Genomic DNA, 15,645 nt, shown 5'->3' with positions numbered 1-15,645 from the left:
CAAAGTTCGGAGGGAAAATGACTTTCAACCTAGATTTCTCTACCCAGATGAACTATAAATCAATCACAGAGGTAGAATACATTTTAAAGCATGCAAAAACTGAGAAAATTAAACTGTTAATACCCTTTCTAAGGAAGTTATTTGAGGATGTGTTCCAGAAAAACAAGGGAGGAAACCAAAGAGGAAGAGAAAGCAGTGGCTCTATTACAGGAAACCAGTCAAGAGAAGTCTCAAAATGATATCCATGAAACAAGTCTGAAAAATTAGTCTCTGATTCAAGAGGACAAAGTGCCCCTCTTAATAAAAGGCAAGGGTTAGAGGTCCAACTTATGAGGGATAGAGTCCCTTCTAAGATTTAGGGGGTTAGAGGCCCGTCTCAGTAAAGGCCTTCTTGGGTAAGAACAGGTTTGGCACTATGGGATGTTAACTGCTATTCTCTTTGGATTAATCTGCCTTGCACTCTTTGCTAATGGCTGTGGGTGACAGAGTCAGGTATGTACAGGACTATGGGACATGGGGAACTTTTTCTTCCCTAAAAGGGGAAACTTAAGAGCTGATGGGATGGCTGGAAAAGATCCCTTTGCTACTGAGGAGCAGCCACCTGAACTTTTCAATGTCACTGCAATGGGTGGGTCTTTCTCTGACCTCCCTGATCATTTCGCTTTCCCCACCCTGCTACAGGCAATGCTTTTCTCTCTCTACTTTTCCTTTCCTATCTTTTCTGTTACTCAGGGCAACCACCTTGCCCAGAGGCCACGTAAGTCTGAGGCTGGATTAAAGATGACGGGGCCCATTTGGGGGCAAATTTAAGCCTCACCAGTTTGATATTGGGTGTTAAGCAGAGTGGCTAATGTCTATGTCTTATCACATGTATTTTGCTCTGGCCAGAACAAAAAAAAGTAATTTTCCTTTATGATGAGGCTTGGCCCCCAGGGCAATGGTGCTGCAAGCCAGATCACTAGTGCCACTCAGGGAAAGGGAACCCAGAAGCCTGGCATGCTGGCCAAAGGGTAAGAATTTCTTGCCAGTCAGATTTCTAGCTTCTCACTCTCTATGCAAACAGTTGAATGAATGGGGGGAAAAATCAGTATTTATCTCCTCTGTAATGTTTTGATTAATGCAAAAAAAAATTCTAAGGCTAGTCTTAAGCTGGTGTATTTTGTGCTATGAATTTCTTTTTCCGTGTCAAGGGGTGCTTTAGGATAAAACACGGGCTTAGAATACCTGCAGGCCCACTTTTCAAGATAAGCCAGCAAGCTAGCTGGTCAGTAACAAACTTGGCTACAGATCCCTGAAACAAACAAAAAAGTGGATGAAGTCTCCACCTTGTTTATGTCCTTGGGAGCTTGACCTTGTAACCATGTGGCAGTACTTTTGGTCTCTGCCTTCCAGGGAACAGGAATTTTAGGGTTCATGTCATAGTTAGATCTAAAAATCATATTAGTTAAAAGCCTTTGCAAGCTCAAAATTAACTACTCTAAATTCCTTCTAGGAAAGGAAACAGAGACTGTCCCGTGCTGTAGCTCAGAAGCCAGGGTTTTGCACTTTCACAGTAGCAGTTCGGGTTTGATTCCTTCCCTAGGAAGTCGTTTCTGGTTTAATATCTGTGTGACCTTGTCTATTCTCTTCTCCTCCATGGACTGTCTTAAATTTTCCTTTCTCTAAGCACCTTGGAGGTTACCTTAGGTAAAGTTCAAAAGCCAGAAATATTGGCTGTTTGGCATAAAAAATTCTAAAAAGACTTTGTTAAAGAGTGCTATGGTTAAAATCAGTTTAATTAAAAGCAGATATTCAAGCTCTAACAGCCTGAACTCCTTGGGAAAAACAGGAGGCACCAGGGACCCCCTTTCCTGGCCCTGTTCTTCCAACGGCTCCACCTTAAAGCCAGTAATCCAATTAAGAAACTTAAAAACTGGCAAATGAAAAATCTTACAACTACTGTAGTAATATTCTTCTTTCTGGGTAGCTATATACATATTATGTGTAATGTTTATATAAAAGAAGTCTAATTGGCTGAAACAAAAATAAGTGCTTAAATCAAATATTTTGAAAGCAAAACAAAAACTGTAATGCCTTTTAGTTCATGTAATCTTAGTAATCTTCGGGAAATACAAACAGCTTTAAAAATTACTGATAAAATAAAAACATTCAGTCTAAATTATGCAGGTCAGATATTAAGTTTGTTAAATGCTTTAAGGTCATAAACTGTTTAACTTTTAAAAATTGTTCAATTTACCTGCCTTAAAGCCATTAGATTCTAGATAAGGCCTGGGGACATGTGGAATTGGCCATGCCCCCTAGCTATACAAAGATGATTATAAAGAAAGATTTTATATAAGAAAAGATCTTGGTATGGTAAATTCTTCTCCTAAAATAAAATGGTTGTTTAAAAGGAGGGATGTTTAGGGCAAGTCAGAAAGTCCAAGAATGTCTCAGATGGTCTGTGTAAGTCGTGAAAGGATTTTTGAAAGAAAATTTATGCAAGAAATGTTGCACAATTCAAAGGTTGTTAGGCCTCCTAAATGCGTCATAAAATGCCACTATGACTCTTACTGTATAACTTGCCTGCTTAAGTAAGGTAAGGCCTGGGGACATGTGGAGTTAGCCATGCCCCCTAGCTATGCTGGAGAGTCAGCCCTTATCTGCACTTCTGCCTGGCGTGTCCTAAGGCTAGGCTCCACACCTAATACACAATTAAAATTGCTTACTAACCAGGGTTTTCACCAAAAATAAAAGTTGCTAAAAGTTAACATTGTAACATGTAATTGAGACTATTGAAGAAATAGTTTTACCTGTAAGGTGTGTAAGGAAAGTAGAATATATTTTTGGTAAAAGATTATAAGAAGGCATGGGAATATGGGTTTTTTGCCTAAAGGGTTAAAGAATTGCTTTAAGTTAGAATAAAGCTAAAGGTTTGAACAGTTGTGGAAGGTTTGTAAAAAATTAATTGTAAAAGAGATTCTGTGTGTGGACATTGGCTAAATTAAAGGGGTATTATTCAGTTTTTCTATAAATTAAAATTGGTTTCTTAGAGCAAATTAAAATAGCCAGTGTGTGGACATTGGCTAAATTAAAGGGGTATTATTCAGCTTTTCTATAAATTAAAATTGGTTTCTTAGAGCAAAAACCTGCTTATGACCTGCTCTTTAACAAAAACTTGTAAAGGGTTATAAAAAGTTTATGAGAATCTTACCTTATGGTCAAACTGATTAAGATTGGAAAGATTTATTTATTTATAAGGTTTTATTAAGAATTGGCAAAACTCTATCTCTACTAAAAATACTAAAAATTAGCCGGGTGTGGTGGCTGGTGCCTGTAGTCTCAGCTACTCAGGATGTTGAGGCAGGAGAACTGTTTGAACCCGGGAGGCAGAGGTTGCAGTGAGCCAAGATAGCGTCACTACACTCCAGACTGGGTGACAGAGCAAGACTCCGTCTCAAAAAAAAAAAAAAATTGGGTTTTATATCTATAATGCACTAATACAACAGTGACATTTGGCTTATTTGATATAAAAATCATACAGGAAGCATAATCGAATGTGAAATGGTGTTTTGCTTTCTTTGGACTATATTTACATAAATGTGTTATTGGTATATTCTAAAGTTATGGGAAACTCCTATAATTCTAATATTATTTAGTGTGTTATTAATAATTATAATTGTTATGTAAAATTCTGTGTATCACAGAAGTAACAAAATTTCCTTATCAAATGTGGCTTTAATAGTGGCTGTCCTAAAGCTTTTTATCATCCAGAGATGACTGTCTTGTTTTAATCTCCTTTAGAAGGTGGTTTATAATCAATTATAGAACTCTAACAGGTGTTCTTCAATGCATGTTTTCTTGTAACTTTGGAGAGCGTAACAACAGAATAGAGGAAAAACTTTCAGGACTCTCATGGAGAGATGAAATGTTCATGAATATCAAGCAAAACAGGAGTTACCTAAATTCACTGAACCAATAAAAAACGGAAGTAATATTTCAAACTTTGCATAAAACACTACTGATCCTTTGTTTTTCAGAGTCAAGGAAACTTTCCTTTTGAGCTATTTATATTATAGCTCTTAACAGTTTATATACTCCTATGCACAAAATTCTGAGCATATTTGTTTCTCTCTACCTGATTTCTCCAGAATTTGGCAACTAGTTGTGAGTATTCTTAACTTACAGCAAAATAGTTATTTGCAAAGGTGCAATAAGAATCTGTTTTCTTGGCTGGGCATGGTGGCTCACACCTGTAATCCCAGCACTTTGGGAGGCCGAGGCGGGTGGGTCTCGTGGTCAGGAGATCGAGACCATCCTAGCCAACATGGTGAAACCCCATCTCTACTAAAATACAAAAAAGTAGCTAGGCGTGGTGGCGCCACCTGTAGTCCCAGCTACTCAGGGGGCTGAGGCAGGGGAATCGCTTGAACCTGGGAGGCAGAGGTTGCAGTGAGCCAAGATCATGTCACTGCACTCCAGCCTGGTGACAGAGCAAGACTCTGTCTCAAAAAAAAAAAAAAAAAAAAAAATTCGTTCTCTTTTCTAACAGAACACAATTGGAGAAATTGGTTATGTTACCAAGGTTTTGACTGGAATGGTGTGTTTTCCTTTAAGGAATTAAACTTGATTTATAGAGCCAATAAAAGCCTGTGTGGAACTGGCCTCACACCTTGTCTACAACAGTCCCTGTTCAAGGTTTCTGACTTGGGGTAAGTAAAGAATGTCACTTTCTCACAGGTCGAAGAGCCCCAAGTTATCCTGGGACCTCAAAAAGAAAGGAATTTACCCAACTCATAGGTATTTGAGGGTACAAACCCATGATGGGGCTCAGCTTTTAAAAAGTCTTATCTGAGATCCCTTACAAAACAGAGTTCCATTAAAGTCAATTAAAAAGCCTATGTGAAAAATAATTATTCTTGCTGCACTTTATACAAATTATCAGGCCAAGTATAATAAAACAAATCAGTCTTACCATAATTTGTCTTTCGTAAAAATGGAAAACTGGAGAGAGAAATATGTTTCAAGAACTATGGTACACCTGTTATTAAATTCTAGTCTCATCTGTTTTTCAGTTTGTTTCTGCAATTTAGTCTACACCTGCTTATTCCTGTGAACCTACCAGTGATCTCTGACTGCTGCTCAGAAGAAACAAGAGGGATGGATAATGTAAAAATCTGGATTAGTATTCTAATTCTGGGCACATTACAATCAGCTAACAACCCTATATCAGCTTAATTCCAACAGTTGCCCAGTTCATGGAAAGTCTTCTAATTTAGTTTACTTGGAATAACTTTACTTATTTTGCTTTACTCTTGTGGAATATATTGCTGTTATACTTTTTGTGTAGGAATACAGGACAAGCTTACTGAATGTTTTCTTAAACTCTTATTCATCTTCCAGATACCACCCTCTGTCGAAACTCAAGAGTTATGAATGGACCTTACCATACTGATGCTTTCTGACTCTGCTCCTCTCTACTCTGAATGTAAGAGACCCTAATAGTCAGGCAGGAATATCATCACCTCTATTCAGCCTGAAGGAGTTATAGAAGATGAATCTTCATCCCTCCGCAACCCTTAGGATTAAGCGTTCTCTTATAAAAGGGAGGGGGGAAATGTCAGAGGCATGTGAACCAGAACAACTCCATCTTGAATAGGAGCTGGGTAAAATGAGGCTGAAACCTACTGGGCTGTATTCCCAGTTAAGGCATTCTAAGTCACAGGATGAGATAACAGGTTGGCACAAGATACAGGTCATAAAGACCTTGCTGATATAACAGGCTGCAGTAAAGAAGCTGGCTAAATCCTACCAAAACCAAGATGGCCACAAGAGTGACCTCTGGTCGTCCTCACTACTACACTCCTGCCAGCGCCATGACAGTTTACAAATGTCATAGCAACTTCAGGAAATTACCCTATATGGTCTAAAAAGGGGAGGCATGAATAATCCACCCCTTGTTTAGCATATCATTAAAAAATAACCATAAAAATGGGCAACCAGCAGCCCTCAGGGCTGCTCTATGGAGTAGCCATTCTTTTATTCCTTTACTTTCTTACTAAACTTGCTTTCACTTTGCACTGTGGACTTGCCCTGAATTCATTCTTGTGCGAGATCCAAGAATCCTCTCTTAAGGTCTGGATCGGGCCCCCTTTCCTGTAACAAAAATAGTCACAAAACAAGAAACTTCATAAAAATAAGCTGTATAAGACAGATAACAAAATCACAGCACATAACTTCACTCTGCAGGGCACAATATATATGTAGTCACAATAATATCCATACTACACACAGAACATGCAAGACTATTTTCTAGAACATATGAATACTGTCATCCTTGCTAGTGAAAAAGGTAAAGTACAGATGAAAGAAACTGGGAGGTAGAAGAGAAAGCAGAGAGAGTGGGCAAAAAGGATGGCAGCAATAATATCCACCCTCACCTTACAAACAGGGTGTCAAAGATACTATATACAGTTGACAAGACAAGAAATAAAGATGAAATACATTACTAAAAGCAATAACCAAGAAAGAAACTAAAAACAGTGATATTATGACACTAGGAGAGGGTTGCAGGGCCATGTGTTAAATCCTCATCTATCATAAGAGGAATCAACAAAATTGGGGAAAAAAATAGCAACATCAAAAGAATGAGAACACAAGCCACAGGCTGGGAGAAAATATGTGCAAAAGACATATCCGATAAAGGACTGTTATCCAAAATATACAAAGAATGCTCAAAACTCAACAGTAAGATAATGAGGGCTCGGTGTAATGGCTCACACCTGTAATCCCAGCACAGCACACTTTGGGAGGCCAGGGCGGGAGGATCACCTGTGTCCAGGGGTTCAAGACCAGTCTGGGCAGCCTTGAGACCCCTGTCTCAAGGGGTCTCCCTGCATAGTGAGACTCGTCTCATCAAAAAAATCAAAAATTAGCTGGGCATGGTGGCTTACACTTGTAGTCCCAGCTACTCAGGAGACTGAAGAAGAAGGATCACTTGAGCCCAGGAGGTGAAGGCTGCAGTAAGTCATAATTGCACCACTGCACTCCAGCCTGCACAACAGAGTGAGACACTGTCTCAATAAAGAAAAAAATGGAAAACGAAACACCTGACTAAAAATGGAAAAACACCTGAATAGACAACTCACCGAAGAAGAAATACAGATGGAAAATGAGCTATGAAAAGCTGCTCTACATCAGACAGTGTGGCAATTCCTCATGGATCTAGAACTAGAAATACCATTTGACCCAGCAATCCCATTAAGGGGTATATACAGAAAACCAAACATCGCATGTTCTTTCTCATAAGTAGGAGCTGAACAATGAGAACACATGGACACAGGGAGGGGAACATCACACACCAGGGCTTGTCAGTGGGTGGGGGGGCTAGGGAAGGGATAGCATTAGGAGAAATACCTAATGTAGATGACAGGTTGATGATGGGTGCAACAAACCATCATGGTATGTGCATACCTATGTAACAAACCTGCACATTCTGCACATGTACCCCAGAACTTAAAGTATAATTAAAAAAAAAAAAAAAAAAAGCTGCTCCACATCATACATCCGTAGGCAATTTCAAATTAACACAAAAGTGAGATATCACTACACAACTATTAGAATGGCTACAATCCAAAACAATAAGAACACCAAATACTGGTGAGGATGTGGAGCAACCGGGACTCATTGCTGGTAGGAACGCAAAATAATTCAGCCACGTTGGAAGACAGTTTGGTGGTTTCCTAGAAAAGTAAACATACTTGTTCTCTATGATCCAGCAATAGCACTCCTTGGTATTTAGCCAAATGAGTCAAAAACATATGTCCACACAAAAACCTGCACATGGATCTTTACAGCAGCTTTACTCATAACTGCCAAAACTTGGAAGCAACCAACTGTGGTACACCCAGATAATGGACTATTAGTATCATCCACCCCTTAAAATGAAATAACTATTAAGCCATGAAAAGACATGGAGGAACCTTAACTGAAGCATTTACTAAGTTAAAGAAGCAGTCTGAAAAAGCTACACACAGTATGATTCCAACTATGACATTCTGCAAAAGACAAAACTACAGAGACCGTAGTTTTGTAAAACTATGGTCCTTTTGCTTGCTAAAGCAAAAAGATCAATGGTTGCCAGGGGTTGGGGGGAGGGAGGAATGAATAAGTAGAGCCAGGCACAGGTGAGCTACTGTGCCTGCCCATTCATCCCCCACCCCCAAGGGAGGGAGGCAAGGTGGGAGAATTGCTTGAGGCCAGGAGTTCCAGACCAGCCTGGGCAAGACAGCAAGGCCCTGTCTCTACAAAAAACTTGGATACATGGCATTATACATTTATCCAAACCTACAGAATGCACAATGCCAAGAGTGAACCTCAATGTAAACCACGGACTCTGAGCAATGTTACATCGGTGTGGGTTCACTGATTGGAAGATGTTGATAATGAGGAGGCTGAGTGTGTTTGGGAACAGGAGTACACTATAGGAAAACTTGTACTTTTCACTCAATTTTGCTGTGCCTAAAACTGCTCTTTAAAAAAGAGTGTTTATTTTTTTAGAAGGCAGTAAAAGCATAATAAAGTGTTTACCTTTGAGAAGAGGGACAAGAAATGGGAAGGGGTAGGGCAGCAGGGCAGCAGCAGTCTTGCTTTTCATAATAAGCTCCTTGTCCTGGTTCATTATTTTAACCCCTGTATATACTACTTTGATAATGAAAATTAGGAAAAAGAAATATGAATGTTTATGAGTACAGTGTGGAAACAGGCAATTAGCAATCCGTCAGCTTTATAGGCAGCACTGATCCTTTGGACTTAGAACAAATGAGATAACAGAAGTTTGAGGCAATTCAGCAAGCAGATGCACAGCCATAAGGAACTAAGTCTGTTATCAAATCTTGGGGCCCCACCTTGACTATGACAGAAAAGTAGTTTTTTCCACAGCTGGACTGTCTTTTGGGTCGTCTCAGTGGTGTGCTTTCTAGAGATTCATACCTAACTTGTACTAAAAGTCAATAGAAATTGTCTTTGCAAATCAAATGGAGGGAAAAAAACACAAAAGAGTCCTACACTCATGCAAATGAACCAAATTACTCACCCATTTTACTTCCTTTGTTAAAAGCAAACAGCAGTGTCAATGTGTAAAGATGATTTTTGTAAAGGGATAAACATTTTCTATCTCATCTCCATTTTACTTTTTTTGGGAAGAATGCAAAATTAATTTTCCTCACACTCCACTTGCTCAGCAAATTGGATTAGAATTCAAAATGCTTGTAAATCTACTCCTCCTGTTTCCCAAATACTCATGCTGTACCACGGCCACTATGAACAGCACTCCAGAAAGAGGGGGACAATAAAGCTTCTGAACAAAAGCCCCCTAACACTAAGAAGGGGCTCAGGCCTGGAGAGGACACAGTGACCGCTCTGTGTCAGGATGCAGGGGAGATAGGGCAGCAGACAAAGCCTCAGTGTTTCTGAGGAGAGATAATGGTATGGTCTGACTAGCTTCTAGCAGGCGGCCCACACAACCAGCTGCCATTAGTCATCTCCAGGAGAAGCCAGAATGCCAAGCAGCTCTGGGAGGGCAACTCCTGACAGGCCATTTGAAAAGTGCAAAGCAGGCAGGGACATCAAATTTCCATTGAAACTGAAGTGGCTGGAGGAGCGCTTCGTCCCAGAATTCTCTCTGCATACTGCGCCTTAGCTTCCTTGCCCATTGTGTAGGCCAAATGAAATCCTCATTGCCTAACTAGAGAGCTTGGCACCTCTGAACAGAAATCTCCCAGCAGCACTGTGGGAAAATAAAGCCCACAGTCTCCAGGCACCAAACACTGAGAATAAGGAGGAGCTGAGGGTGCAGGCTTTAGTGAACTAAAAGATCTGCCATATTCACGTGCAGCCTTACTTTCAGGACAGATGGGAAAAGCTAACCTCCAGGTTACGGAGGCTCGATGCAAGTGAGAACCACCTAGTCTAGTCTAGATCATAATCAGGCCCTGACTTCCTACAGTTATGGCTCAGGTGTACCTCAGTTATACCTCACAGAGATCACTGAGAAACTTCCAAGTTCTACCAGGAAAACATAATAAATTCACCTGAATTTGTAACTGGAGAAATTAGATAATTAGATGGACTGGGCACGCAAAATCCTGTTTATTTCTATTAATATCACTTTGGGGGTGGGAGTTGTTTTTTCAAAGCACCCATGGGTCAAAACACACAAAGAAATTTAAGGAATCGTCCGTATCCTTTGAATCGGAGTTTACTATGTAGGAAGGATAACAGCACTTTACCTTTGTGTAGCACTTTGGTTTTGTAAGCACTTTCACATACATTAACTTGAGGCACACAAAACTCAGTTCATAAAAGTATTATTATTGTTATTTTACAGATAAAGAAACAAAGTCTGAGAGACTTCATAATTTGCCCAACGGTCACATCATAAGTATATCTTCTAATACAAGCCGGGCACGGTGGCTCACGCCTGTAATCTCAGCACTTTGGGAGGCCAAGGCAGGCAGATCACCTGAGGTCAGGAATATCACCTGAGGTCAGGAATTCGAGATCAGCCTAGCCAACATGGTGAAACCCCGTCTCTACTAAAAATACAAAAATTAGCCAGGCGTGGTGGTGCGCACCTGTATCCCAGCCACTCCGGAGGCTTAGACAGGAGAATCACTTGAATCCAGGAGGCAGAGGCTGCAGTGAGCCGAGATCACACCACTGCACTCCAGCCTGGGTGACAAAGTGAGACTCTGTCCCAAAAAAAGAAAAAAAAAAAAGGATGTCTTTTGATACCTAAGGAAATACAAAATCACGTTATTTCAGAACTGGAAGAAACAGAAATCATATAACCTAATTTTTCATTCAAAGTGGCATCAATAGCATCCAACTTCTGTTGCCATCTACTAAAGTCTCATGTTCCAGTTACCATTGAATATTTTCAGTAAAAGGAAACCCACCACTAGACAGCCCCTTCCACTGTTGAGCAGCTCAAATAGTTGGACAATCCTTCCTTATATGAGGCTGAATTCTATATCTTCATTAACATGGCACACACCGATTCCAGTTCTGAAACACTCTGGAACCACAAAGAACAAATTTATTGCCTCTTCCACGTGACATCTGAATGTCTGCAGGCAGCTTTGTTTCCCCATTGGTCTTCTAAATCTTCACTCAAAACATTCCTAATTCTTCCCACCAGGCCTCATAGGTCCCGGGGTCCATTCATTGGATAAACTGCCTAGAGAGCTTCTGATTTACCAAGGTCCCTCTGAAATATTACCCAGAATCTCAGAAACACTGCAGATGTGGGTTTCTGTGAGTTAAAAATCTCTTGGTTGCAAGAGAAAACCCAACTCAAGCTTACAACAATAAAAAGAGGTTTTGACTCCCATAACTGAAAGTCTAGGATCAAGTCCAACTTCAGGTCTGGCTCAACTGAAAGATGTTCTCTCAGGGTCAATTTCTCTCCATCTTCTGCTCCTCCCTTCCTCCACAGGTCACCTTCATCAATAAGCTGCCTGCCCTCATGGCTATGTGATGGTACTGGCAGCTCCAGGGCTCACATCTGCACACCATCAAATCCAGCAAAGAGCGGGGACTCTCTCCCAGGCACCCCAAAAAACATCTACTCAACACTCATTCTGATTGAGTCTCTGCCATCCTTGACTCACTGAGACCAGGGTGATATGCTGACTCACTTTAAAGTGGGAATTAGCTAAAGAGAATTCCTGGGAGAAGACGGGGTTAAATGCTGGGAAGTCAACCAAAAAGTGTTCAAAATGTGGTCTGACCAATGCCGAGTCAGTTCCCTGGTGTAGTATACTGGTACGGGTTGAGCATCCCTAATTCAGAAAAAAATACAAAACCCTAAACATTCTGAGTGCTGACATGACCATAAAAGGAAACACTCATTGGAGTATTTCAGATTTCCAGATTAGGGATGCTCAATTGCTAAGTATAATGCAAGTATTCCAAAATACAAAAAAAAAATCCAAAGTTCAAAACACATCTGGTCCCAAGCATTTCAGATAAGGGATACTCAAACCTGTATAATTAATACAGCACATAGAACTGGTGTAGTGTGCCAGTTGAAAACAAACCAACCCAAAAGACTTCAGGACCCAGCAGGGGACATCAGGCAACAATTAAAAACAAAAATTGGCCAGGCTCAGTGGCTCACACCTATGATCTATAATCCCAGCACTTTGGGAAGCCAAGGCAGGAGCACTGCTTGAGCCCAGGAGTTTGAAACCAGCCTGGGCAACATAGTGAGACACCCATCTCTACTGAAAATACAAAAAAAACCCAGGTGTGGTGGTGTCTGCCTGCAGCTCTAGCTACTCAGGAGAGGCTGAGGTGGGAGGATCACCTGAGCCTGGGAAGTCAAGGCTGCAGTAAGCTGTGATTGTACCACTGCACTTCAGCCTGAGCGATGGGAGTGAGACCCTGTCTCATAAGCAGATACATACATACAAAAATCACGTAAACCATTTGGCATACTTTTAGTATACATGAGACACAATACAAGCACTTGCTTTATTGAGCTTTGCTTTTTTGTGCTTTGCAGATAATACATTTCTTACAAATTGAAGGCTTGTGGCAACCCTGCATCGAGCAAGTCTATCAGTGTCATTTCTCCAACAGAATGGGCTTACTTCGTTAGCATTTTTTAGCAATATTTTTTAAATTAAGGCATGTACATTGCTTTTTTTAAGATGTAATGCTATTGCACACTTAACAGACTACAATATAGTGTAAACATAATTTTTGTATGCACCAGGAAACCAAAAACCTCATGTAATTCATTTTATTGTGGTGGTCTGAAACTGAATTCACAACATCACCAAGATGTGTCTGTAGTTAAAATGCAACGTGAAATAAAAAATACAAAACACAAGCTGGGTGCAGTGGCTCATGCCTGCAATCCCAGCACTTTGGGAGGCCGAGGAGGGTGGATCACCTGAGGTCAGGAGTTCGAGACCAGCCTGACCAACATGGTGAAACCCCGCCTCTACTAAAAATACCAAAATTAGCTGGGTGTGGTGGCACACGCCTGTAGTCCTAGCTACTCAGGAGGCTGAGGCAGAAGAATAGCTTGAACCTGGGAGGCAGAGGTTGCAGTGAGCCAAGATCGTGCCATTGCACTCCAGCCTGGGCAACACAGAGAGACTCTGCCTCAAAAAAAATAAATAAATAAAAATACAAAACAGGACACCACACTTGAAGACTCCTGTGATTATCACTAGACAAATGCTTCTGGTTCATGGGACCATCAATCTGGGTGCAAGGAGTAGTGGAGGTTGGCTCTGCAAAGGTCTTTCCAACATGAATGAATGAATTCCTTCATCACAGAGTCGCTGCTGTTTACTAACCCTTACATTCCTGCCACCACTGTTTCAGAGCAAATTTCCCCATAACCTCATCACTTAACACAACCGTTTTATTTTCTGATCATTTTGCCGGTCAGGAATTTGGGAAGAGCTTGGCTAGGCCATTCTTACATAGACACTAGGAGGTGGCTCCTGCCATCCGAAACCCTGGCTGAGATGACAGCTCCACGGACTGTGGGCTGGAGCACCATGTGGTAGTCTCCCCAGCATGGTAGCCTCACAGTGGTTGGACTTATTACAGAACGGCTCACGGCTCCAAGCACAAGTGCCCCCGCAAACAAGAGGGGCCTGCACAGCCTTTTATAATTTAGCCTCAGCAGTCAGAGGAGCACTTCCACCCTCTTCTACCAGCTGAAGCGGTTCTAGGGCTGCCCAAATTCAAGAAGTAGATCCCTTAACAGAGGAAGTGGCAGAGTCACACTGTAGGAGGGCATGTGGGACAAGGGAGAGTCACAGCCTCAGCTGGAAAATGCAATCTGCTCCACCTCAGGAGGATGACAAGACAGATTTTTATCTCAAAACCCATTCATTCAAGTGTCTCTATTTCCCAAACTGATTTTTGCATCACTGAAGTGTTTAGACATCGAACCAGTGTGAATTCTGTGGACAATCAGCCAATTCCAAAAACACAGTGAAGACAGCTATAAAGCCCACTCGCTGTTAAATACAAAACTCTGTGCTTCGCACTTTCTCAGGCCAGCTGATCCTGTTTCTTCACTCCACTGAAAACGAGGCAAAGGCATAATTAAGAAATATTTTGCTGCATCACCATGTTCTTCAAAATCAAGCTCTAGGACTGATGAAAATATGTTCAGCACTTTACCACGGAAAGAATACAATGACCTTTCCTCTACCCTTGACTTACTTTAATAATAATACTTAAAATGTTTAAAAATAATAAAGCCGGCCCTCTCTTATATAGAACTCTCATGTAGAACTTCTACGGTACCAAATACTTTACATATACTGACTTGTTTGAAACTATATACAGTAGGTCCTGTTTCTACAAATATTTTACCAAGGAGGAAACTGAGGCACAGTAGAGATAACTTGCCCAAGATCACACAGCTTCAGCTGGAATTCAAACTCAGGAAATGCGGGCTCCAAAGTTCATACTTTTAATCACTAAACTCCCCTAAGCCCTCACATATAAAAACAATACATGCTGTTTCTAAGAGCAAAATAATCAAAATCCCCTACTTGCCTGGGATAATCATTATGAACAGCCTGGAAAGAATGTATTCTTCCAAGAATACATTCTCTCTGTGTTGACACAAACATGCTTAGCCTTTCGTTTGGGATCACAGCATAGGCACTATGACATAAAGGTGTAAACACTCTCTTGTGAGTTATATTTGTCACCTGATAATACATCCTGGTCATAGCTTCAGGAAATAGCTCTCACTTGTCCTTTTTAATAATATTTCTTACCTCTACATCTTTTTTTTTTTTTTTTTTTTTTGAGACAGGAGTCTTGCTCTGTCACCCAGGCCGGAGTGCAGTGGCACAATCTCAGCTCACTGCAACCTCCATTTCCCGGGTTCAAGCGATTCTCATGCCTCAGCCTCCCGAGTAGCTGGGACGATAGGCACGTGCCACCACACCTGGCTAATTTTTTGTCTTTTTTTTTTTTTAAGTAGAGATGGGGTTTTGCCGTGTTGCCCAGGCTGGTCTCGAACTCCTGAGCTCAGACAATCCGCCTGCCTCGGCCTCCCAAAGTACTAGGATTATAAGCGTGAGCCACCACGCCCGGTTGACATCATTCTTATTTAATAAAATTTCATAAGAATGATATAGTCGGCCTTCCATATTTCTGGGTTCCCCACCCAGAATTCTACCAACCACAGATAGAACATATTTGGGGGAAAAAGGGATGGGTACATCTGAATGTATATAGACATGTTTTTCTTGTCATTATTCCCTAAACAATACAGTATAACAACAAATGACACGGCATTTACATTGTATTAGGTAGTATAAGTAATCTGGACATCATTTAAACTATATGGGAGAATGTGCGTAGTTTAAATGCAAATACTATGCCATTTTATAGCATTTTATATCAGGGACTTGAGTTATCTGTGGATGTTAGTATCCATAGGAGATTCTGGAATGAATCTCCCAAGGATACTGAGGATGACTGTACTATAATTTATTTAACCAATTCCTACTGAGGGACATTCAGTATTCCTAGATTCGGGCCAGAACAAAAAAAGTACTGCAATTAGCAAACTTTTCCTACATTTGCAACGTTAAGTATGTACTTGTGCTTTTA

General features: G+C 40.8%; 1 protein-coding gene across 34 annotated transcripts in view, besides 1 other annotated feature; it reads right to left on the bottom strand.

The window, feature by feature from the left end:
- Positions 1 to 15,645, bottom strand: part of SPECC1 (sperm antigen with calponin homology and coiled-coil domains 1) — a 309,668-nt gene that overhangs the window by 120,013 nt on the left and 174,010 nt on the right. The window lies entirely within an intron of this gene.
- Positions 9,424 to 9,718: a silencer, noted in NCBI's record as "tiled region #374; K562 Repressive non-DNase unmatched - State 8:EnhW". NCBI's record gives its function as "represses a minimal TATA promoter and a strong SV40 promoter by Sharpr-MPRA in K562 cells {active_cell/tissue: K562}" and the evidence as "EXISTENCE:reporter gene assay evidence [ECO:0000049][PMID:27701403]".

This window comes from Homo sapiens, chromosome 17 (genome assembly GCF_000001405.40).
Source record: "Homo sapiens chromosome 17, GRCh38.p14 Primary Assembly".
Classification (NCBI taxonomy): Eukaryota; Metazoa; Chordata; class Mammalia; order Primates; family Hominidae; genus Homo; species Homo sapiens.
Note: the sequence above shows the minus strand (reverse complement) of the source record. Positions and strands in the feature narration are given on the sequence as shown.